The sequence below is a fragment of the Homo sapiens genome, chromosome 5, assembly GCF_000001405.40.
Source record: "Homo sapiens chromosome 5, GRCh38.p14 Primary Assembly".
NCBI lineage: Eukaryota > Metazoa > Chordata > Mammalia > Primates > Hominidae > Homo > Homo sapiens.
In genome coordinates, this window is record NC_000005.10 from 59,263,818 (window position 1) to 59,290,251 (window position 26,434).

The 26,434-nt window shown below is 35.8% G+C and overlaps 1 protein-coding gene across 29 annotated transcripts in view; it reads right to left on the minus strand.

Moving 5' to 3' along the window:
• PDE4D (phosphodiesterase 4D) overlaps positions 1-26,434 on the minus strand; it is a 1,553,091-nt gene that overhangs the window by 294,780 nt on the left and 1,231,877 nt on the right. Inside the window, exon 1 of one of the 29 annotated variants that reach the window (NM_001197220.2) lies at positions 11,521-12,298. The exons of the other annotated variants lie outside the window; for them this stretch is intronic. Within the exon in view, the coding sequence (NP_001184149.1) occupies positions 11,521-11,585 (65 nt within the window). The 5' untranslated portion in view covers positions 11,586-12,298. Of the gene's footprint in view, positions 1-11,520; positions 12,299-26,434 lie in introns of those variants that run through there. 29 annotated transcript variants of the gene reach the window in all.

Sequence of the window (26,434 nt, forward strand, 5' to 3'; positions counted from 1 at the left end):
TTAGTAGGTGGGGGCAGGGGCTTAAAGGGGCATAAAGGTGACTTTTGGCTGCTGGTACTATTTTTAATCTGGGTGGTGATTACAGGGGTGACCTTTGAAAATTAGAATTACTTATTTTTCTTCTTTGCATTTGCAACATCCAAAAAGAGTTTTTCTGTTTACAATATTTATATGTTCTTCATAGGTGACAAATAGACAAAACATATCAAAAAATACACATGTATTTGTATGTATGCATAAAACCTGTTTCTGCTACAATGACTTTATTTGCATGCAAATTTAATGGTGAGATTAGATATATAGAGTTATGATGAGATCATCAAGGCCATTTAAATGGCAAGCAGCCACACTATGTCCCTCTTCTGTCTGGCAGAGATCACCAATGGATCACAGCACATTTTCTCTGAGACCAACGCAGCTCTCAGTACATTATTCCAGGCAGCTACTGCTATTCGTAATTACAAGTTGCCCATAGATTAAAAAGACTAGCTATCTTGGTTTTAAACAATGCAGACTGTCTAATTCTTTTGATATTTACATGAAAAAGATCTTGCAATAATGGAGGGATTTCACATATATTTCTAGGTAAACATAAAATTTCATTCCTATGTACGTAAAATGATTTTTTCAGTTACACGAATACCTTTAAAAAGTTGTCTGCTAACATCAAATTTGCTTTTTTGTGTGTGTTTTATATTACCCTAGAAGCTCTTACTGATTCATATACTAGTAGACTCTTAACGAAACACAGAAAAGTAATTGGGCTATCTCTTTTTAAAGCAAAACACTCAGGGAATCTTTAATGGTTAATTTTTTTTCCCAAGCTGGTGAACTCCACCCTCAATCACACTTAATCCAATGTGCAGTTGTTAATTATAACAAAATAATGCTTTTACAGTTTGTTTTGTTTTGTTTTGGTAACTACTCATAATAAAATAGTAGATATCAGAGACAGGAATGCTAAATGCCTGCTCTAACGTATTGCATTCTTGACATTTCTAGCCCCTGTGGCTGTTCAGCTCATCCTAACACTTCACGCCACAAGAACAGACCTAACCAGATCTCTATTTTTGTCTGTTGTTCTTTAGAAATGATGGAGAAAGCATCTTAAGCCTTCTGCACTGAGCTGGGATGGCGGGACAAAGGAAAAAGGAGTCCTTCTCAGTCTGGTCTGATAGAGATGATGAGGCTCAGCTCCAGGGAGATAATAATCTGTGAATTACACAACCAGGAATGCACCTTAGGACTAGAAGAGTAAGGGATTTGTAGAGGTAGAGAATGCCTGGCAGTGTGATTACCGTAGGACCAAGCCACAGGGTGGCACCCAGTAGGAAAGATACATGGAGAAAGTCTTTACAAAGGTGCACCTAGAGATAATGCTCAGGTAGCTGACCATTCCTTTCAGATGAAACCCCTGCCTAGTTGTGCTTCCTTAGAGGGTTCTCATTGAGTTTTAAATAACTAAATCAGAGGTGGTTTAGCTTCCCACTGACCACTTCTTATTTTGCCACCTCCACTAAGTAGTTTACTTCTTTGACCCACCTAGATAGCAGTGTGTCTTCTTTGAATCACACTATTAACGTGATTTATCTGGAATACCTAGCTCTATATAAATGCTTAATTCTGACTGTGTTAAAAAAGACTACCTTATGGAAAAGAAACCCTTACAAAATGAATCAGCTTTCACATTTAGAGTTCTTGATTATTTAGAAAGTCATACCAATGTGTAAACTTCAAAAATGCATAATATAAGCTAACAGTTCCTGGTCACTCACAAGGAGCCAGCCATGTGCTAAGCACTTCAGGTAGATCAACTCATTGAACATATTAACATATACATCATTGCTAAAGGTAACATTTTATAATTAAGAAAATATGCGAATCATGAAATTATCTTATTTGCCACTCAAATTTAGGCAAGCCACTTTACTTCATTAGGCCTCAGTCTGAGGAATAAGACTAATGAGTACTGTCTAGGATTCATCATGAGGATCTAATGAGATAATTAGGTCAAGTGAACAGCACAGTGCCTGGCACATAGTTAAGTACACAATAAATACAAATTGCCACAATTTTTAATTCAGATGAAGACTATATTGAGAGGAAAGAAGTAAATTTAAAATTTCAAGATGCGAATTACAGCTACTTACTTAGCTATATGACATAAGTTTAGGAATTACATTATAGCTCAATACAAATTATAATAGAACTGCTTTCACACATTTGCCTGACAGACTAATTTTTAGCTCTCTTTTTCAGCTCAAACTTCATTTTTGAAGTTAAAAAAATATTTCTCCAGCCAGGCATGGTGGTGTATGCCTGTAGTCCCAGTTACTGGGAAGGCTAAGGCAGGAGGATTGAGACTAGGAGTTCAAGGCTGTAGTGCATATGATCACACCTGTAAATAGCCACTGTACCTCAGCCTGGGAAACACAGTGAGACCCTGTCTCTAAATATATATATATATATATATTCTTCAACAAATCTTTTTACCACTTAAGCATTGACATTGTTTTTAACAGTTTTTCTTGACCCTACTTGACTGGAAATGTTAAAGACTAGCAAAATGTTTCCAGCTCCACATTGGGGTTAGGGGTGGGGAAAATCAGATTATAGGTTATTCTCTGTGGTCTCTTTTATTTCAAAGGTTTTATGGTGCTACTAACTGGTCAAATGCCAGAGAGAAGGAAAACTGCAATTTATAGTCTGACCAGAGGAAGAGAGTCAATAAGCTGAACGAGTCAGGAACTAGCTAGATCTCCAAGGAATGGAGCCGTGTCAAAGTCCATGTTCTATTTCTCAATATATCTCTAGGGCTCACGGTTGGAGGCTTGTATACAAATCTTGGGGGGAAAGGCAGACAAATACCATAGGCAAACATGTTCTTGATATACATAAGATTAAAAGAAGAAACTTGAACAGTCTAGGACAGGAAGGAAAAGTATAAGTAGCAGCTTGTTGACTACTTTTCTAATACCATGAAACAGAACTATGTGTAGCCAAAGCAGTTTAGATAGTGAGGAAAAGCAAACAAAACAATAAGAACAACAACAACAAATATGGGATGTAGTTTCGACAGACCAAGATTTTTCTGCAGCACTGTAATTTTATAAGCTGTGCGACTTCAAGTTTTATTCATACAGTTTATTCATACAGTTGCTTCAACTGTATATAGTACTAAGTTCATTGTCTGTCAAAGAGTAGATGCCCAATACATTGTAGCTATCATTAATGAGGTTATGACTCCAACTATGACTATAGACCTAGAAGCTGCTTTCTCCAGCTAGCTGGTGATCTAGCTGCCAATCAGTTACTTGCTATTCTATAACAAAGTTGCAGTATCAGAGCAAAAATCACAGCCCGCTGTTGCCTATCCCATGTTAGAATGCCATTGGTTAAAAGTGGACACATTTTACAGTAATTTATCCTGACTAAAATAGTATCAGTCATATAAATTCCTTGATGCAAAGAAAAAACTCTGTGCCACATTGCAATGGAATGACATCCTGAATGTTAGGAATTATTATTTTCTGTATTCCATATGAATGTCTCAAGCAAGTTCACTAAAAAGAGCTCAATTTCTCATCTTTGATGTATTTTAAACAAGAAAGAGAATTAGATACAACGGGAGCACTTTTCTCTAGGAAGTCTGAAAACAATTACATACTGAAATTATGTTTAATGAAACATTTATTTTAACAAGTCACACTGGTGCCATCTATTTTACAATTTAGAATGAATATTTTGCAATATGAAATGAAAAAAGACCAAGAAGTCACTCACTAGCAGTTTTCAAAGGCCATAAAGAAGAATTGGTTTATCTATTGATTCACTCTCATTATATCTACTGACAACTAAGAGGAAATGGGTTAGAATTTAAGCAAAGAAGATTTGTATTAGATATAAAGAAAACTTCCTAACTCTGTGGGTTTAAAACAACAGGACTGCTTCCTATAAGGGTACTTTGGAAGATGCAATCCTTGGTGTGCATACATTCTACACCTAGTTTCTAGTTTTCTAATTTCTTATTCTTCCTCATGTGTAGTAGGGAAATGGAAGGGCTTGCAGGTGACCCCCTTTACCCTATGGCAGAAATTCTTAGGGCTGAGATGGGGGGCAAATGTCCTCTACACTGAGTTTCATTAATGGCAGCTTTTGCCCAGAGGTTGCCAGTGTTATTAAACAGGGTAGGGTGCTAGATGGTGGATGCTTAGTTCAAACTGGGCTGGAATTCTTCCATATTGGTCTCTGTATAATCTCTTTTTTCTTGCCACACTTCCCCAGCTCTTCTCTTGAAATATTCCCTTGTGTTTTTCTAACTCTTATTCTGAAGAGCAGTTCACCCTTCTGTTAGCTTCTCTAATTCGCATCCTCAGCCATCACCCAGGATGCTCATTAGGGAGCCAATCCCCTTAGAAGGCTTAGGACAGATAATAAATACTTACAATATTGCCCCTGTCATGCTAAAAAACTGCATCCATAGGTTCTGGCATTCTTCCTACTTTCCATACTTTTGAAATGCTTTCTAATTTAGGTCAAACTTGACAAAGAACTAGGCAATTTGAGAGCTGAGACATATCACTGGCACGGGCTCTCATTAGTTAGTTACCTGTACACAGTTATATTTAACAGTGTCTCACCCAGGCTTGCTGTCATTGTGCCCCATGTGGTACCCCAGCCCTTCCCATAGGCACCAATCCCTGGAGAGATTTGGTGCTTGTGGCTGAAGTATACCTTACTTCTGTCCATTTTCTAATATACCTTCAACCCCTGTATTATATTTTGAGATATTGGATCACCTCTGGAAAGGCTTCCAAGAAAATCTATATTGATTTTTTATTAAGACTGTGCTTTCTTTGTGACTATCTTCCTTACCAACCTAGCTAATATCCCTCAGGCCCTATTCTCTATACCTTTATCTAAACTTTGACAATTCTATATGTTTAGTATTAGTATTATTGGGAATATTTATACATATCGCTCAGCATCTTTCCCTAAAAAGCTTAAAAACTCCTTAAAGGCCTCATTAATATTCTTCCCCTTCAGTTTCATCTTAGAATCTACTTTTCTCAATCTTGCTAGTAATGGTTGGGTGGATCCATGACTAACCATTCGTATACTCATGGTTACCTTCATGTCATCATCCCTTCTGATTCAATAGAATTCACTACATGATTGGAATGATTGACAGAGGAACTACTAAGTGAGCTATTCCTTTACCTCTCCTAAAAGGCAAGTTTTAATGATAAGGCCAAAACCATGGTGTGCCTCAGATCCGTGGGGAAGAAAAAAAAAAGAGTTGCAGTCAGGACTAAGTATTATTGCACACATAACCACAGCCAGTTGACATGATAGAAAAAGAGGGTGGAGAACCCCATTTTGAAATACCAAAAGAAGCGTCTTGCTTCTGAAGAATTTCATACCAATTCAGCATTTCTTTACCAACAACCATACTCACTTCCTGAATTATCAGCTATGCATCATACAGTGTTTAGTGCATGATTTTCTCATTCCAGATGAGCCTAAAATAAACTTGTAAAAAATAAGATGCTAAATAAAATGAATAGATCTTAACTATTATAGTGATAACTCTTCTGTGATATCTCAGAAGTGGGAAAAGTTACATAACTTCAAGGTCTTATAAGGCAGAGGTATTTGAACTGCTACATTACCTACGAGTTTATCCCAATCCATATAGAGATACAGAATACACAAATGACTCTCCCGCGGTAAGGCAGCACTGCAGAGAGTAAAACTGTAAGTGATCTTAACAGTCATTAGCTTAGTGGTTTTCAAACAATATTCCTTGGAATCCTAAAGTCTTTAGAGGTATTTTAAGGAGAGGGTTTGAATTTGGGGTGGGGGGTAAATGTACAAACTCAGTGGCTGTTTTATTGTTTTATGTGTGCTTATACTTTTTACTTATATATTTCACACATATCTATGTTTTTAAAAATTATATCTATATATTGAATTTATATATGATTTTATATCTAAAAATTACAGTATAAATATTCATTTATATTAACTTCAACTCACATTTCATTAATAAAAAATGTCCCATTGAAATAAACGTGTTTAAAATCCATTGACCTGCCTTGCCCCTTTTATTTTACAGGACAGTAGACTTGGCTTCAGAGGGACTAGGTGACTCCTCCAGGGACACAGAGCATGTTAGAAGTACAGTGGACAAATGGCTTTTTCCAGGGAATCTCATACTTCATGACTTTAAAGAGTAAACCTATCTGTGATCCACTCTGTGTCTTTCTAGTTATGTTTTAAATACATCAAATATTTCAAGGTATCTTAATCATTTCTAAAAGCTGTATATCTTTAAGTATATTTCATAACAGATACATCACTAACTTGGGTAATAGGACCAAAAAAAGTTTACCTCATGCTCAAAACCCTGAACCAACTTTGACAGTAGTCACATACCTAAACCAAATCATAATATATATTGCACAGGCAGAAAATATGAGAATTCCATTTGTTTGCGTATTTACAAGTTTCTAAGATAGAAGAAATAGGAAGGAAGATTGCATATTTTTTTCAAAGCTGATCTTAGATGTCATACAAAATCTGATATGTACTACTTGTTTCCAACCTGAAGCCTTACAGAGCTTGCAGAGAACAGAAAAACTTGGTAATAGAATTGGAAAGATAATCTATTCAAAATTGTGAGGCATTGGCCTTTTGTTCTTTATTGTCTGTTATAAAGACCAGAGGACCTTATTTGCTACCAGTAGAGAATATAATGGTCTACAAGCTGCAAGAGCCTTTCACAAAGCTATTTTTCAACAACCAACAGTCTTTCACAAAGCTATTTTTCAACAACCAACAACGTCAACCCTGAATTTCATAGGCTACCATACTTCCGAAAAGAAAACTGCCAAATACTGTAATGCATCTAGAAATATTCACAACATGAACACTTTTATGGCCATTAAAAAGATAATTATATCCACAGTAGAGGAAGGCAACAAGCTGAAGAACCAGAGCACGTTCTTTGAGGTAGACAGACTTGGGTTACCCCAGCCTATGACCTTGCTCAAGTTATTTCATCTCACGGAATCATTTTCTCACCTGTAAAATTAGGATTAACAACTCCTTCTTTTCAATATTGTAATAAGAACTAAATAATATATATGTAAAATTCTTGATAGAGCTCTTTCATAAGACACTCAATAAAATGAAAGCTATAAGTATTAGAAAAATGGATTTTTTTTTTTTTTAAATTGAGACAGAGTCTTGCTCTGTCACCCAGGCTGGAGTGCAGTGGCACGATCTTGGCTCACTGTAACCTCCACCTCCTGGGTTGAAGCAATTCTCATGCCTCAGCCTCCCAAGAAGCTGAGATTACAGGCATGTTCCACCACTCTGGCTAATTTTTGGATTTTTAGTAGAGACAGGGTTGCGCCATTTTGGCCAGGCTGGTCTTGAACTCCTGGCCTCAGGCGATCTGCCTGCCTCAGCCTCCTAAATTGCAGGTATTACAGGAGCAAGCTACGCCGCCTGGCCAAAAATAGAAAAATATTGATATGTTAAATGAAGAAGCAGAGTACAGAAATAGTATTTACAGCTATTTAAGATATGTAAGGTAAGTTGAAAATGAGAATAACTGAGGATGGAATAATGGGGTTAATGGGTTATTTTCCTTCCAACATATTAATGTTATTCCATCTTTTTGATTCTCAATTATAAAATTGGACATTTTAGCTTATATGAATGCTTTCCACTGTGATCATGAGGCCAAAATAAGAATGCTAAGCCAGTCTAGATTTTTACAACCTTAAGAGAAAAGAGCTAATAAAAAAATTATAATCCTCCATTGGTCAGAGTTGCAAGAAAATTCAGAAAATTGTATCCAACCAGTACTGAAATACTCATTTGCATATTATATAACCTGAGCAAATTGTGGTTTAATGTCTAAGTAGATATTGGCATATATAAAGATGAGCTTGCTAATACATATAGTAGGTATATTTTTAATATTTTAAACTTTCATATATAATACTTTATTGATAAAAACTACATACAATATGCAAATACAGTGAAGAAAAGAGAGGCAGTCCCCCTTACCTTCACTCCTACCATTTTTTTTTTTACTCCTAAAAAATAACCACTACCAAAAGCTTGGACAGAGTCTTCCAGAATTTTTTCTGCATCTACAAACCTAAGTATTACATGTATACTTATTACATAATAATACTTATAATGAAAAGTATAAGTACTATTACATATACAATAACCAATTTTAAAATTTGCTTTAAAAACAACCACAGTCATATTTTGAACAGTAGCATCTCTTTTATTTTCAGATTACATAATGAATGATCTTACATGTAACACATAAATCCTAAACACTGTTCTGTCAGCAGGAAAGAAAAAAGTCCACTTCCATTGACTAAACTTCTCTTTATATTTATATTTGTAAGACTAATAATGTTTTACTTACTTAAACTAAATCACAAGTCTTAATTACATTAATGAGAAGTATCCCTGGGAAATGTTTATAAATGTTTATAAAAGTGTTAAAGAGATATCAAGGAATATGTAAGGTAATATTTTCATAGTATATAACAACTGACTAAATCTGAATTTAAGATATGCAAGAAAGGCAAACAATTCTGCAATCAATGAATCTGCTAATTTTATTAGCTTTATGAGCATAAGAAAATATATAAAGTTTTTCTCAATTTCATGCAGGCACATTTTTTTAAAATAATGCTTAAGAATAAATACTATAATCACTTTCTGCTAGAACGTGGCATATAAATAACTGTTCCTTAAATAAAAGCAACCTAGTATACACCTTTATTAAATAAACCCTAAATTTGGACACCTATGTTACAAAGAGACAAATAGATTAATTTTAAGGTTATTTGTATTTTGTCTTGAAATTAATAAAATTTTAATTATAACAGGCTGACCTTTAATAAGAGGAAGGGTATAAAATACAAGTTTGCCATGAAATCCCATTTAAAATGTGAATATCTCATAGCAATTTAATTAAGGCTGTAAGGACAAGTTAGTGTGGACTGCTTTTTATGATACTTGGAGAGAAACAAATAGAAAAAGGTAAAGAAGTAATCCAAAACATTGGATTCTTGCACAATACAACAAACTTCCAAACGTAATGTTTGGCTTTAGGGAATCCCGGAGGACAGTAGACAGATTTGGAGAAAGTAGACCAATGGAACACAAAATAGATTTATGTAATCAGAGTGAAGATGGTAAAGCCAGAAAGATGTGTCCCAAGAACAAAGTATTTTGGAGATCAACCTGGAAACAAATAAACATCTGAAAAAGAGATAAATGGCAAAGTTTTAGGTCTCTCTCATGGGAAGTCAACTGAAAAGGAATGAGGGTAGGGTGGTGGTGGAGAAATGCAGACAGCAACACTGGTGAGAAAACATTGTCCCTCTGAGCAATTTGAGGCCTGTGGCCTTTATGTGCAGAGGCACAAGAAGAGAGGCCGTTTGGGTTTTTTTAATGCTCAAGTAAACATGTGTGTGTGTATGTATGTGTATACATATATATACACACAAACATATATTTTCTCTATATACCAAATCTATAATCTATATTGATTTTATACATGTAATTAAATAAATAAATATAATAGATGTGTCTAATATTTGACTGATAGACGGATAATAAAATGGCAAAACTGTTACTACAGCTGATTATACCCTCAGGCCAAATTTTTTGGCAGCTGCAGTGATATACCCAAGCGGTTATATTATTAAGTCAGATGTAAGATTAATAACTGGAGAGGTTTCTATAGTGTGTAGTTAAATCTAAGAATCATGCATATATAGAGAGAGATTTATTTCTTACACAGAAATCATTCTATCCCCAAGTCTATGGAGAATATTTTTAGTTAAATGGAAAAATACACACATTAACAAATCAAAATATTTAAAAATGCATTTTAAATTGTGGCTTGACTTATGAAAATATCCCATACAATTTAAAACAAAAAATATAATAATTGTGGATAAAAATAGACTATGATAATCTCAGAGAGGTAAAGGGTGTCAATGTTACTCATCTCCTGAAATGAACAAATTATTTCCAATTGAAACCTGAATTTGAAAATACATCTCCTGGCAGTTTAGACAAAAAGAGAAATAGTTTGGTTAAACACTATTTTTAAAGTAGTAACATCTTTTCACATAGGAATGGTATAAATTATAAATGAGTTAAATTCATGTATATTATAAATTCTGTTTACTCATGTTGGTGATTTATATTAGCTATGGTAATTCATACAAGGATTTTAAGGATTTTCCAGTATTTATTGTTTGAGGAAAAAAAGGACAGGACTCTCCAAATTTGTTTGCAGATGCAATCTTTTCTTTAAATAAACTCAAGGAATAATTTATTGCACGTGTTATTTTGTAAGAAATGGCAAGTAACGTTAAGAGACAAAATCTTCATCTATAATTTATTAAAACTCACAGAAATACTGCGGATGGGGCAATTCTTGTTTCTGGTTGACTGTAAAACACTACAATAACAGCAAAGGCTAACCTATCCACAAAAACACAAGCTAAATTCCTGACGCAAATAATTTGAGTATTTACATGTGTGTTTGCCTGCTCACATGATAATGCATATTTTGCTGGCCTGTTTTCCTCCCATTCTCAACCACCTCACTTCAATCATTGCTTTTATTTCCCCAGTGTGAGGTATGATTATTTCCATTTCAAAGAGGTGAGCTTAGTTATTTATAATCAATCACTAAGAAAAACAAAATAAGACTAACCCCTAAAATAGCCATAAAAGTATTTTGTAAATACCTATTGTAGAAAAAAAAGTTACTTTGTTGGAAAATACTCCTTAAGGGCCATGCCATATGCTGATTAGCATATCAAATCACCATTGGGGAAATAATAGAACATTAGAATACATTGAAACTGACATATTTTTTCATCAGAGTAAAAGCATTAAAATAACCAAAAATATAATTACTAGGAATCATTTCTAATAAAATAAAACATAAGAGATGAATGAATGATAAGCAACTTGATATACATTTAGCCACATAGTTAAATTCAAGTTTGTTTCATGTGTATGATTAAATATAAATAACATTATTAATTTCTAACACATCTGTGCTAAAAGTGAGGGTATTGCTTTTAAAGACAAGGGCAAAGCCTGTCAACCACCAGCCTGCTTGCAGCAAGCAAAGAAGATAAGAAAACAAGCAACTGAATCAAACACTGAAAAATGACAAGTTTTCATTTTCAAAACTCCCAACATATCTGCAAGTTTCTTTCCTCCTTTAAAAATTATCATCAGATAAATTGTTACAGTCCAAGAGGAATTAAAAAAAAAATCAGCACCCATTTGGTTAAAGCACATGAGTTTGGGAACAAAATAAAGAATAAAAGAGCCGCCAATACTGCCTTCTTTCACAAAGCCTCGACATCACACAACTTACTAAATACTCAAGGAGTACGTCAATCTTAAAAGAGAAAAGGGGAAAAGCATGAGAGAAAAGAACGTTACCAAACTGCCTCTGCAGTCCTTAGGGAACTTGTAGATCGGGATCTTGGCTTCATAATAATGCTCATTTTGAAAAAAAATAAAAAGGAAAATAAGTCTTCAACTATTCTGATTAATACATTCTAACTGTCTTTCTGCAAAGAAGATTTTAAAGATATTCCATTTCCAAGGGAGGCTGCTTGAAGAAATCCAATTTTCCTGGAGTCCATCTCCTGTCCTCGGTCCAGCTCATGGGCAAGGTTCTAACACGCAGGAGCGCTTTCTTCCTTCATACTGAATTTACTCCAGTACTAGGCTGTTAGGAAGTGACAGTTTCTTCTGTGTCTTGCAATGCCAAGGGAGGAACTGAATTCTGAATTGATTCTTCATCTGGGTCACAAGGGAAACCAGCATAGTGAAAGAGTCACTTGATCTCTTTTTTGCAATTCCATAGTAACAGCTTTAAAGGTTTCTGACACTCGAAGAGCGCAGGTAGAGAGAGAGAAAAAGAAAATGACCGGGAGGTACTGTAACACGGGAGAGCTGTCAAGGAAGTTCCATTTCAGGGCAAGCACAGGAAAACACTCCTCTCCGTGGAGCAAAGAAGTCAGCCAAGGAACAAATCTCTCCACACTTTGGCTGGGTGGGCTGATTTACCTGCGAAAGTAATTTCTGTGTGTCCCTGCTTAGAATCCAGGGTTTTGTGAATGAGAACTATCATTCAATCTCACCAGGCAGAAACTATTCCTCAAGGGCTGTATGACGTCTGTAAGAAGGCAGTTCAAAACACCGCAGGGCAGTGAGAAAGGAAAAAAAAAAAAAAAAAAAAAGAAAAGCCCAGCGCCCAGCCTAGCCTCGTCAATTGCTGAGACTTACAAAGCAAAGGGGCGGATCAGCTCCAGAGACCAGCACTGTAAACCGGCCAAGCAGACAAGAGACCTCACAAAACTTATAAAACCATTTCCTTCTCTGGGAAATGAGATGTCTGTGTTATTCTGGGTAACATTCCGTGATCACCTTTACAAGGAACACACCCCTTGCCATTAAGTTGTTTATTTACCATAATAAACAAATGAATTTTATAAAAGTCATTCTTTCAAAAAAGTATTTCACTGAAGCACTAAAACTAAACTTTTCTCTTTAGAAGCAAAGTTGAGAGAACTTGATGACTTAGCAGCTGTTCATTTTGAGCGGATGTAATGAAATGTCATGCTTTGGAGTTGGTTGTAGAGATGTAAATTACCTCTTAAAAATTCAGCAGAGTGTAACAGGCACCCTTGGATCAGAACATACTGGAATTTTAAACTGAAAAATTGAATGTATTATTCCTGGACAAGTGGCTGCACGTATTAAGGCTGTTCCCTTGCACAATGTTTTCTAAACCTTATTTTTTTTTAAAAAAAATGCAAATTTCATTCATCTCTACACACAAAGACTTGGGTTTGCTAATCCTTAACAGCTCTTCAGTAAGGAATGAAGCTTTATATCTTGTCAATATCTCTTATTATTTCGAAGGCCAAAACCTTTCCCACCTCCTAAATATAAAATATTTTCTATTACAGTAGATATAATCTAAGCTGATTCCAATTGCTCCCAACAGAAGGAACAGTTGACCAGCCTGCCTATCTCTCTGAACATCTACACAGAGGATATATACTCCTCTGGGTGTGCCAACTTCAATTATTTTGGATGTGAATTACCAAGTGAAAATAATGTAAGCATTCTGATTGCTTAAATGGCATTAGCTAGTACGTTGGTTCTCTAGTCTGACGTGAACTTGGTGTTTATTTAGCATTTGCAGACAGGATGTTGGAGTGCAGTTGTGACCCACCCAAACAACTTGGAAAATGTAGTACGGCATCCGCCAGAGGCTCTGGCTGCTTCTTACAACAAACCCTTCATCTGCTCCCCTGGTCACACTTCAAGGTGCATTTGTGACTTAGTCTTCTTTCAATGACTCTCAGGCCTCTTACGGTAAATGCCAATAAATTGCTTTCCACATAGTTATCCCCTTAAGCTTTTCAGTTTCCTTATGACTGCCAGGGGACATTCACACTTTCTTAGCACTGTCCCATGTCTAGTATATTGCTGGCATTTTAAAGCAGGTTAATTAATCATGTATTTTTTTGGAAACTTAAAAGTTTTGTGAGACTAATTATTTTTAGGGGAGAGGGGATTTAGAGGAAGAGGTTTAATTTTTTTCTTATTGGAATTTAAATGTGGGAAAAGAAAGAACAAAAGCAAACCAAGTAAAATTAGGCAACTACTATTTATTTGAAACACTGTTCCCTCCATGTAAGGTCTACCAAATAGCTTCCAGTTGCCATTTCAGAAAGCAAATGACAATGATCAGAGAATGTAATGTCTGACTGTTGAGTTTTCAACTCTCCAGAAATAATTAGCCTGTGTTCTACCGTCCCCCAGATCCATGTTACAATGAGCTTATTTAGCCTGATGCTACTCCCTTCTCTGTCACACACACACAAGTTTAGTGCAGCCCCATGTGCTGTTCCTTGCTTACTTGCCCAACATTCTACATCTTCCAAGAATCTTTCTCTGAAAACCTAACACACTTATTGGGCATCTACTAAAGACTGTATAATAGTACCATAATGACTAAGAAATCGTCCCTCTCCCCTGGCAAAAACAAACTTAAGTGGGGAATCTGACAATGTATGGAACTAACCAGAATACTCAAAGTTTTTGGATTGGTACATCAAGGTTGCCATTACAGAGAAAGAAAGATGCGCTATGTTGTAAGACCATTGAGATTTAAATTTAAGTTTTGCTTCTACTCCTAATATTTAAGGTAGTGACAGAATAAAAAAAAAGTATGTATTTGATGTTACAGAGTTTTATCCACTTGTAAGACCATTTCTCACATGAACATTTCTGAAAGAATGTTTTGTTATCTAAGCATCCTGTAGTTTTCCCTCTGAAAAGCTTCCCCAAATGGAAAAGATATGGCATTTCCCTCGAAATTCCTGTTAGCATGCAAGCATATGATGGCATGCAGGCTGATGAGGAGGCCTGAATATGGGGAGACTGGATTTAGGAACCATGTGGCCCATGCTTTTGATCCAGAAGCTGCGATTATTTCTCAGTATTTCCCTGTTGTACTGAATTGTATAATGTATGGACCTTTTACTTTCTGGTTGTTACCACATTTCAATAGACTGTACCATAGATGTATACATCCATTGGGTCATCCATCTGTAGATGTTTTGTTGAATCAAATGACTATGTCATTTGATGTTTCTGAAACTTCAGTCATAACACCACCTTCATAATTCTTTCCATATTAGCATTCCATCTATACCATGATTTGATATTTTTCTTAATTGACTCACTTTTTAAAAAAACTTAAACTGAATATAAAAGGTAACTTTATATTTATTCTGTAAATAGATTTAATATACTGGTATAATTTGCCCCCAAAATATAAGATATATTAATAGAAAAAAAGGAGTCCAAAATAACTCCTAAAGTCTGTCTCATACCACTAATGGTGCCCCGATACAACTTGGCAACACTTACATGGAAAGCGTCAATTGCATACAGGTAGATTGTGCGCACCTAAAATGTGATCTCCCTTTCTCTTATCATCCAATGGTGAGCGTGACTTGTGAGACTTATGACATTTATCCATGGATTAAACATTAAACATTAAATGAAGCCAACTGAATGAGGTGTTACGGAGTAATTTTACTATACAACTCAGGTTTTCTCAAGTATTACTATTTTCAAATACTCTGCCTACTATCAAATCTTCTGTTCTCTAAATTCCTATTTTCAGATTACAATAGATATTCTATACTTTCCAATCTATCATGAGCATATTTCTTAGAGCCATATTATATATCAACTAAATATTCAGGCCTCTCAAATATGCTGAAATTCAGTACTCCAGATATGTCAAACTAACTTTTTAGAAAAAAAGACCAGGGGACTGCAGTTTTTACAGTTTCCTGCTATTCTCTATTGTACTCTAACGTTAATGAGAATAAGACACTGAACTCCTGTAGCAGTTCCTCATTATTGAGAAATATTGTGTTATTTTCCTTATCTGGAGGGGAATTTTGAGGCAATTTCTAGAGGTTTCTTTTATTTTATTACACTTACTAGGAATACAGTTGGATTCAAGGACTTTCCTACTGGCATGAACCTTGCTTGGAGCTACATTTCTTAATTCCCAAAGGAGAAGTCCGGAGTATTATATTTTGAAGGCTTTCCTATCTTCAGATTTCCTACCTCTTTCATAAACTGTCAGGTTAGGATAATAATAATAACTACTAATTATTAATTACCTACATGCTAAGTAGACTATACTTTCTTAATTATACATCACAACATCCCTCCAAAGTAGATGTGATAATAATAATTTCATACATAAAGAAAGTCAACAATTTGTTCAAAATTTTTGGACCCAGGTATATTTCATTCCAAAGCTTGCTCTTCATGATGTGTATGTGTGCATGTATGTATGTGTATGTGTGTGTTTGTGTGTGTGTGTGTGTGTGGAAGACAGAAAGAAAAGAGGAAGAGAAAGAGATTAAAAAATGCTACCAAGTTTTTGGAAGTTTTTAAAATTCATCCATCCTCTTTAGTTGTACAGTGGCAATGAATTAATATAATAAAAATGGTGCACGTACATTACTAGTATAATGATAAACATATTTAACAGCTAGAAAATGTTAGATCTTTAAGATATGCAGGATTAAACAATCTAACTTCACTGTCCTTGTTTCTAATTTTTAGGCACTAACTTTTAGGTATCATAAACACTGTGATGAGGGCATATATGACAACATCATGAGTTTGTTAGCCATAAAATATGATAAGGTCTTTGACCATCTCACAACATGAGTAATGGTAGTTTCCTGTTACCTATGCAACAGATGACATTTTGATTGCCTCATTAGGCAATACTGGTTAATAAATGATCATTTTAAAAGGTAACAATACGTGAGACCTCTGGTAACGTATAAATTTCAATATTTGTCAACAAATTACATTGGCTATTAAAAGGTACAGAATACTAGTTTTTAAAACTAGAATAAACATTTGTGCATGGAGTCAGTAATGTTGACATAAAATGAATTTTGTAATTGACTTTCAGAATTTTGCACTAATTCAATACTGGATTTCAGAAGAAAAACTATCTAATTTAAAATTTTCTAAGTGCTGCTGTATTTCCTTTGCATTCTGCCTCTCCTCTTGTCCCTCTTTCACATTTCTTGTTCTTCTTTATTCTAAACTTAAATGAATCTCTGCAAATTTAACATTATTTTGAATTAAATATTTAAATTTTATTAAAGAAATACATGTAAATAATGTAAACAAAGAGCAATGAGTGTAATATCCTCAAACTCCAGCATTGATTCCTGATCCCAATTCATACACAAGAATGAGACCCTAGAAAGGTGACAGTAAGTTCTAAGTGCATGGGTGAGGCTTGTGTACTGGGAGTTTTACTGCAGTATCATCAAGTGCCCAGTGGGGATTTTTTTTGCCTCTTCCAAATGTTACTATTTGTAAGAGATTTTTTCCTCTGGGGTATCTCTATTTTTCTAGAGAAGGATATAAATATGCTTCCTAGCATTCTGGTGTGGGTAGGAGAAGGACGCTGAAGGTCTTACTGACACATTGCAGACATTCATTTAATTGTCCTAAATAAAGTTAAACATACAGCCATCCTTCTCCTACTCTTTGCTTAGTATCCCAAAGTCTCTGTCTTCCATGGAGAGGGATGCAAAATATGTTGACTACACTGAAAAAGAGTGAGGGCTTATGGAGAAGTGTATATAATATACATGTTCATACACCTGCTATATTTAGAACTCTTCCATCTTCCAAAGTATGTTTTGGGCGACTGGGGCAGCTCAGTTTGCTTCACTTTAGTATTGTTCTCTGATTTGGTTAAGTCATTGACCTTTTCTCTTCCTACTTCTATCTTTATGTATTGTGGCTTAGAGTCACAGACATCTCCCAGTTTCCTCAAAGATGAAATGTACCTTTCTGTTTTTTGTACTAATTATTGGTTTGAGTGACTTTTTAAAGAAAAAAATGGCATAGGAAGATTGTTTCTCCACAGTTTTAAAGCTAGAAATCTATAAGTTCTACTTTAAAACAATTTTCTATGTTTATCTAAGCATACGCATTTACAAATTTTATTTATCAAATGACTATATGTCAACTCTCTCTAAGCATAGGTAAATATTAAGTATTTTTTATTATGGTAAAATACACATCACGTAAAATTGACATTTTAACCCTTTCTAAGTATACTGATCAGTGGTGTAATGTATATTCCCCCTGTTGCACAACGATTATCTCCATCCATCTCCAGAACTTTTTCATCCTTCCAAATCGACAACCCTGTACTCATTAATAGTAACTTCCTATTCTCCTCTTCTCCCAGCCCCTGACAAGCACCATTTGGCTTTCTGTCCGTATGAATTTGACTACTCTAGATATCTTATATAGGGGAATCACAAAGATTAAGTTGTAAAGGTAGATTCAGAATCACATAGCCAGTTATGGTCTAGATGTCTCATTATTAAAGAAAAAACAATTATGGAAGCACAAAGTTTGAAGATAACAATTCACACCTTGAGAAATCAATGTACTTGCCTTATCCATCATCAATTCTTTCAAAGTATTCACTTGACTTTCATAGACAAAGTCAAGAGCAAAAATATCTTTGCCTTTACCAACATCTGGTGTGTGTTTTTAAAAATTATTCTTCTAACTATTTTTTTTCTGTTTAAATATATACAAATGTTATCAGTGCTTACCCAGTCTGGTCACATTATAACTTTAGTTCTTATTTCAAATTTATAGTAGCTTCCTGTATTTAATCAAGTAGTTCCTAACTCTATATACCAATCTCAAGGGATAAAGCAAAAATTTAAAATTAACTTACTTCAATAATTCTTAAAAGACTTTTGAAAGAGATGAAACAACTGGAAAGACCACATTGCCAAATGAAGCCCTAGTTTCTAACACTGAGATAAATTGAGATTTTCATTAAAATAAGATTGGAGGCTGCGCGCGGTGGCTCATGCCTATAATCCCAGCACTTTGGGAGGCCGAGACGGGTGGATCACCTGAGGTCAGGAGTTTGAGACCAGCCTGGCAAACATGGTGAAACCCCGTCTCTACTAAAAAAATACAAAACTTAGCTGGGTGTGGTGGCGAGCACCTGTAATCCCAGCTACTTGGGAGGCTGAGGCAGGAGAATTGCTTCAACTTGGGAGGAGGAGGTTGCAGTGAGCCGAGATCGTGTCATTGGACTCCAACCTGGGCGACAAGAGTGAAACTCCAGCTCAAAAAAAAAAAAAAAAAAAAAAAAAGATGTGAAAAGCAGCCTGTCAAAAATAAATGAACACAAGATGTGTTTTAATAATAATTTAGTTTCTGATGTAATGGGAAATGTTGAAAATTGTTTTATTAGAAAGTAAACTCTCATCAGGACCTTTAAATTTACATTTATTTGATAACATTTTTCTTGTACATATTAAAAATGCCAAAATAATCCAGGCAACTCAGGCAGTTTCTCCTTGATCACAGATTACAAATAAGTTTTCTCTAATGTAAAACAGCTGCTCTGAGAAAAACGCCTACTATTTAGGAAGGGTATGTAGGATCAAGTTAAGAAGAGGCCTTTGGAGTCAGACTGCCTGGTTGCAAATCCAAATTCCACCAATCACTAGTTGTTTGATTGCAAACAAATTATTTAACCTTCCCTGGCTTCAGTTTCCTCAGCTATAAAATGGAGATAGAAGAGAATTTTCTGAGGACTAAAAAAGACATGTAAAACCTTAGCAAAGTATCTAGAAAATGGTAAGGAATCAATAAATAATATCTGCTATTAAAAATAAGTTTTAAAAGAGTAATCAATAAGCTATGGAGAAAAGCAGCTTTAAAACTTAAAAATATATGTTACTGCACTAGTATTTGATTTAAAATAATTGGTTTGTGCTTTTGTCTTCCTTTGGATCCTGTCCCCTTGACTCCCTTTACACATAGCTTGTGTAGTTTTCCTGACTTCTATTTTACACATCTAAGGTTTTTTTCTCTTATCTTTGGATTATCTTTCAAAGATACAAACCTTAAAATGTCAAAGCCTGTGATGAAAAACCTTCTATAGCTTCATATTCCTTACAGGATCAATTTCAGCCTTTTTTGTGTGTTAAATAAAAACTTCTACCATTTGGGTTCAATCTGCTATTCAGCTTTGCCCTTGATAACTAATTTTTCCCACCCTATATTGCCAACCACACAATCTCACACACCTTGCCCCAAATCTGCTCACTTTGTTTCCCCTGCCTGGGGAACCTCTCACCTTTCTCCCACTTCCCTGCTAAGTATATTTCCTACTCTGCCTTCAAGATCTAGCATAAGTAGCAGTAAAGCCCAACTAACTCCAAGACAAACTCAGAAGTTCAGTCTCCTTGGATTGATTCAATCTGGGAATATCTCAGGTTAATTTTGTTTATTATAATTATTATTTTATAACACATTTGCAGTATATGGCAACACACAGTGAACATCACAGGGGGATTCAAATCCCACAGACACTGTTTAGCTATCGATTTGGACTCTGTAAGCTTTGAAAACACATTATCTCTTTAAGATTCAGTACCTTCTTCTACAAAATAAGGACAATATGCACACCTAGAATCCTCCCAGGGTTCCTCTGGGATTAAATGAGAAAACATGCTGTCCAATCTGCAATCCCTTGCTCTTGATCACTTTCAGATCTTTGCACACGCATTTCTGGCAGGATTATCTTTCTTTTCTTTTACCCCTCTTTTTGATCAAGAGTTAAATCAGGACTACGCCTCCCATCCTGCTGCTCTGCAATCTGAATTAGGTGTCTGGCCATGCAAATCTCTAGATGTTCATCCTAATTTCTTTCAATTTATCAGCACCATATGGTCATCCTCTCTTCATTTGGTTAACTATAAGCCACTAACTAGGAACTCCTACTGGAAAGGATTGTTTTACCATTCTTGGTAGAGCACAAGGCATTATGGAGGCCCAAATAGAAACCTGGGCCTCCATAATGCTGTGAGTTTCTTTGAAAACAGGGAATGATGATGAGCATTTTTTCATGTGTTTTTTGGCTGCATAAATGTCTTCTTTTGAGAAGTGTCTGTTCATCAGAGAAATGCAAATCAAAACCACTATGAGATATCATCTCACACCAGTTAGAATGGCAATCATTAAAAAGTCAGGAAACAACAGGTGCTGGAGAGGATGTGGAGAAATAGGAACACTTTTACACTGTTGGTGGGACTGTAAACTAGTTCAACCATTGTGGAAGTCAGTGTGGCGATTCCTCAGGGATCTAGAACTAGAAATACCATTTGACCCAGCCATCCCATTACTGGGTATATACCCAAATGACTATAAATCATGCTGCTATAAAGACACATGCACATGTATGTTTATTGCGGCATTATTCACAATAGCAAAGACTTGGAACCAACCCAAATGTCCAACAATGATAGACTGGATTAAGAAAATGTGGCACATATACACCATGGAATACTATGCAGCCATAAAAAATGATGAGTTCATGTCCTTTGTAGGGACATGGATGAAATTGGAAACCATCATTCTCAGTAAACTATCGCAAGAACAAAAAACCAAACACCGCATATTCTCACTCATAGGTGGGAATTGAACAATGAGATCACATGGACACAGGAAGGGGAATATCACACTCTGGGGACTGTGGTGGGGTGGGGGGAGGGGGGAGGGATAGCATTGGGAGATATACCTAATGCTAGATGACGCGTTAGTGGGTGCAGTGCACCAGCATGGCACATGTATACATATGTAACTAACCTGCACAATGTGCACATGTACCCTAAAACTTAAAGTATAATAAAAAAAAAAAAAAAGAAAACAGGGAATGAGGCTTCTGCATCTTTGTATTCAGAATACCTAGCACAATATCTGGCTTACAAGGTATTTGCTTAACAGCAGAATAAATCTTTGGTCAACGGTGGTAGATAAGCCCTTTACAGATTTTCTTCCTGTGCCCTTTTGTGGCATTTGCTTCATGGCTGGAATTAGATTTCAAAAACTGAGTCTTGCCTCTTTCTTGTTTTTCATAAGCCTCTATCTCTAAAAGTTACTTTAGATGCCTTCTGTGCCAAAAAGGAGTTCCTACAATAGTGTTATAATTAAAAAAAAAATTCTCCCAAAGAAAAAGGAACTGGTTGCCAGGGTAAAGAAATACACTGGAAGAAGTCTTATGCAGGCACTGAACCAACGCCAGCATCATTGATAAGAAGCGAAAAATTTTTTGTTAAATATTTAGGAAAAATGGCCTTAATCTGGAGAAACTATTATGCAATGTGATATTCAACCCAGACAGAGTATTTGAATTCTAATAGGAACCTTTTGGAAGCTCAATTCAAAGAAATAACTTTTCCAGGAAGAGTTTCCCCACATTTTGGCAGGACAATGGGGAGGGTGTTTGTGTCATCTTATAAAATCTGCCAATCAGTCACCACTGTCTATGAATGAGATGGCTGTTTCTCTGGATGAAAAGGCTGCATCCTGGCCAGTCTTTAAGAACCTTATCTGGAGCCACTACTAAGTGTTGTCCAATCTGCAACCCCTCACTCTCGATTACTTTCAGATCTTTGCATATGTATCTCTGGCAGGATTATCCTTCCTTTCTTTTACCTCTCTTTTTGGTAAAGATGCATTAGCACATTCGTATTTGTATCAACCACATGAAGACTGTATATCCATGTACTGGATGAGAGGACCGAAGGGCACTAAGTGCTTCCCCTACAAGTTCAGTGGATGAACCAGGTCAGAACTCAAGCCTGGCTGGCTCCAGAAGAGAAATCTGAAGATGACAGGATGAACTCCCATTTATTGATTGCTCACCATGTGCCAGGCACTGGGTAAGATGTTCCACATGTTCTCTCATTTAACATTTAAAACAAACTCACAAGCTAGGTACTATTATTTCTTCCACCACACAGTCAAGAAAACTGAGGTCTACAGGAAGTTAAGTACCATGCCCTAGGTCTTACATTAGGACTTAAACTTAGATTACCCAAATGAAGCATAACCTGGGGAAAGCATAACCTTGAGAACTAAACAAATCGTATTTTAAGTAACATCTCAATAGGAAATTTTTTAAAACTTATTTAAGCAATTCTTTGAAAAGAATGGTAGAATGGGTAAACTTATTACTCTGGACATGGTTTTTTTGTGCACATGACATTGAAATCATTAAAAGTTAGTCACTGTTTTTATTCTAGGAATCACGACTTTCAAATATTTCAATTATTTAGATACCAGACTGCAAGTGTACTCAAAAGTAACTCTTGAAAACAGTGCCATTAAGCAATGACTCCTCATTCTGCACACTCACATTCCCTGGCAACTACTAACCTGTTTTGTATTCTCTATGGACTTACCTATTCTAGATATTTCATTAAAATAAAATACAATATGTGATCAAACAAGTAACTTTTGGAAAAAATGCATTTTTACTTTACTATGTTGGTTCTTTCCTTGGAATTAAGACCATTTATTTTTTATTTCAAAAACACTTTCTTTGGATGTATATTTTCATTTAAAGTTTTCTTTTTGGATGGAGAGGGAGGTGGAGCCATATGGCTAAATAGCAGCCTCCCAAAGGAACAACAAATTGAACAACTCTCCACACAAAAAAGCACCTTCATGCACCTTCATAAGAACCAAAAATCAGCTTAGGTACCAGCTTAGCCACAGCAGGGTAAAGCACCAAAGGGGTTCTAGGGGTTCCTGATTCCAGGGCTTGGCTTTAGATGGTATTTCTGGACCTTCCCTGGCTTACAGGTGGGCCCACTGCCCCAAAATAGATTCCTAGGCCTGGCAGCATTCACCACAAGCTGATTGAAGAGCCCCTGGGCCTTGAATGAACATCAGCAGTAGCCAGACAGTACTTGTCGCAGGCCTGGGGCAGTGGTGGCCACAGGGAGAGACTCCTCTGCTTGTGGAAAGGAGAAGGAAGAGTGGGAAGGACTTTGTCTTGTGACTTGGGTGCCAGCTCACCCACCGTAGAATAGAGTACCGGTAGATTCCTAAGATTTCTGACTCCAGGCCCTGGCTCCTGGACGTCATCTCTAGACCTGCCCAGGACTAGGAGGAACTAGTTGTCTTGAAGGGAAGGATACAAGCCTGGCTGGCTTTACCACCTGCTGATTATAGAGCCCTAGTGCCTTGAGCAAACATAGGCAGGAGCCAAGCAGTGGTTACTGCAGGCTTTGGGCAAGACCCAGTGCTATGCTGGCTTCAGGTCTGACCCTATGCAGTCCCAGTGGTGGTGGCCACAGGGGTATTTGTGTTACCCCTCCCCCAGATCCAGGAAACAGAGACACACACAGAGAGAGAGAGAGAGAGACAGACAGACAGACAGACAGACTGAGACTGAATCTGTTTGTTTGGGAGAAAGTAAGAGAAGAGAAAAAAGAGTCTCTGCCTGGTAATCCAGAGAATGACTCTGGATATTATCCAAGACTACTAAGGTGGTACCTCTGCAAGAGCCACAGTGTTACTGGGCTTGGAGTGCTCCCTAATGCAGATATTCCTGCAGTGACCCAAAACTCAGACCACAACACCCAAGTTTCTTCAAGCATCTGGAAAGCCTCACCAAGAAGGACAGGTACAAACAAGCCCAGACTGCAAGGCTACAATAAATACCCAACTCTTCAATGCCCAGACAACAACGAACATCCACAAGCATAAAGCCTATCCAGGAAAACATGACATCACCAAACAAACTAAATAAGGCATCAGTGACCAGTCCTGGAGAGACAGAGATATGTGACCTTTTAGACAGAGGAAACTCAATGGAATTCAAGATAACACACAGAAGGAATTCAGAATCCTATCAGATAAATTCAACAAAGAGATTAAAATAATTTAAAAGAATCAAGCGGAAATTCTGGAGTTAAAACACGCAACTGACATACTGAAAAATGTCTCAGAGTCTCTTAACAGCACAAAACAATCAAGCAGAAGAAAGAACTGTGAGCTTGAAGACAGCCTACTTGAAAATACAAAGAGAAGACAAAAGAAAAAATAATAAAAAAGAAAGAGGCATTCCTAGAAGACTTAGAAAATAGTCTCAAAAGGGCAAATCTAAGAGTTATTGACCTTAAAAAAAAGTTAGAAAGAGAGATGGGGGTAGAAAATTTATTCAAAGGGAAAATAACAGAGACCTTCCTAAACCTAGAGAAATATAACAATATTCAAGTATAATAAGGTTATAGAACACCAAGCAGATATAACCCAAAGAAGACTAGCTCAAGGCATTCAATACTCAAACTCACAAAGGTCAAAGATAAGAAAGAATCTGAAAAGCGGCAAGAAAAAATAAAGAAAAAACATACACTGGAGTTCCAATATATCTGGCAGCAGACTTCTCAGTGGAAACCTTATAGGGCAGGAGACATATTCACAGTGCTAAAGGGAAAAAAACTTTTATCTCAGGCTAGTATATCCTGTAAAAATATTCTCCAAACATGGAGAAATCAAGACTTTCCCAAACAAACAAAAGCTGAGGGATGTCATCAACACCAGACCTATCCTGTAAGAAATGCTAAAGAATTCTCTTCAATCTGAAAGAAAAGCATATTAATGAGCAATAAGAAATCATCTGGAGGAACAAAGCTCACTAGCATTAGTAAATACACAGAAAAACACAGAATATTATAACACTGTTATTATAGTATGTAAACAACTCATATCTTAAATAGAAAGAATAAAAGATAAACTGATCAAAAATAATAACTACAACTATTTTTTGAAATACAGACAATACAATAAGATATAAAGACAACAGAAAGTTTTAAAGCGGGGGACAAAGTTAAAATGTAGAGTTTTTATTGGTTTTCCCTTTGCTTGTTAGTTTGTTTATGCAATCAGTGTTAAGTTGTTATCAGTTTAAAATAATGAGTTACAATATATTATTTACAAGCCTCCTGGTAATCGCAAATCAAAAAATATACAACAGGTTCTCAAAAAATAAAAAGCAAAAAATTAAAACACGCCACCAGAGAAAATCACTTTTACTAAAAGGAAGACAGGAAGGACAAAAACCATATGACCATTTCAACAGATGCTGAATAAGCATTTGATAAAATTCAACATCCCTTCATGATAAAAATCCTCAAAAAATCGGGTATAAAAGGAAATACCTCAACACAATAAAAGTCATATATAACAGACTCACAGCTGGTATCATACTGAATAGGGTATAACTGAAGACTCTTCTTCCAAGAGGTGGGACAAGATAAGGATGCCCACTTTCACCACTAGTATTCAATATATTAATAATACTGGAAGTCCTTGCTAGAACAATCAGACCAAAGAAAGAAATTTGAAAGGAAGAAGGCAAATTATCCCATTTGCAGAAAATATGATCTTAAATTTGGAAAAACCTGAAGATTCCACCAAAACACTATTAGAACTGATAAATAAATTCAGCAAAGTTGTAGGATACAAAACAAACATACAAAAATTAGTAGCATTTCTACATGCCAACAGTGAACAATCTGAAAAAGAAATGGAGAAAGTAATCCCATTTGCAATAGGTACAAATAAAATTAAGTACCTAGGGTTAACTAAACCAAAAAAGTCTACAATGATCTATCAACTATCAAATACTAATGGAAAAAAAGAGAACACAAAAAAATGGAAAGATATTCCACATTCATGAATTGGAAGGATCAATATTGTTAAAACGTTCATACTACCCAAAGCAATCTACAGATTCAATGTAGTCCCTATAAAAATACCAAGGACATTCTTCCCAGAAATAGAAAAAAAATCCTAAAATTTATATGAAACTATAAAAGACTCAAAATAGCCAAAGGTATCCCGAGCAAAAAGAACAAAACTGGAATACCAGTTT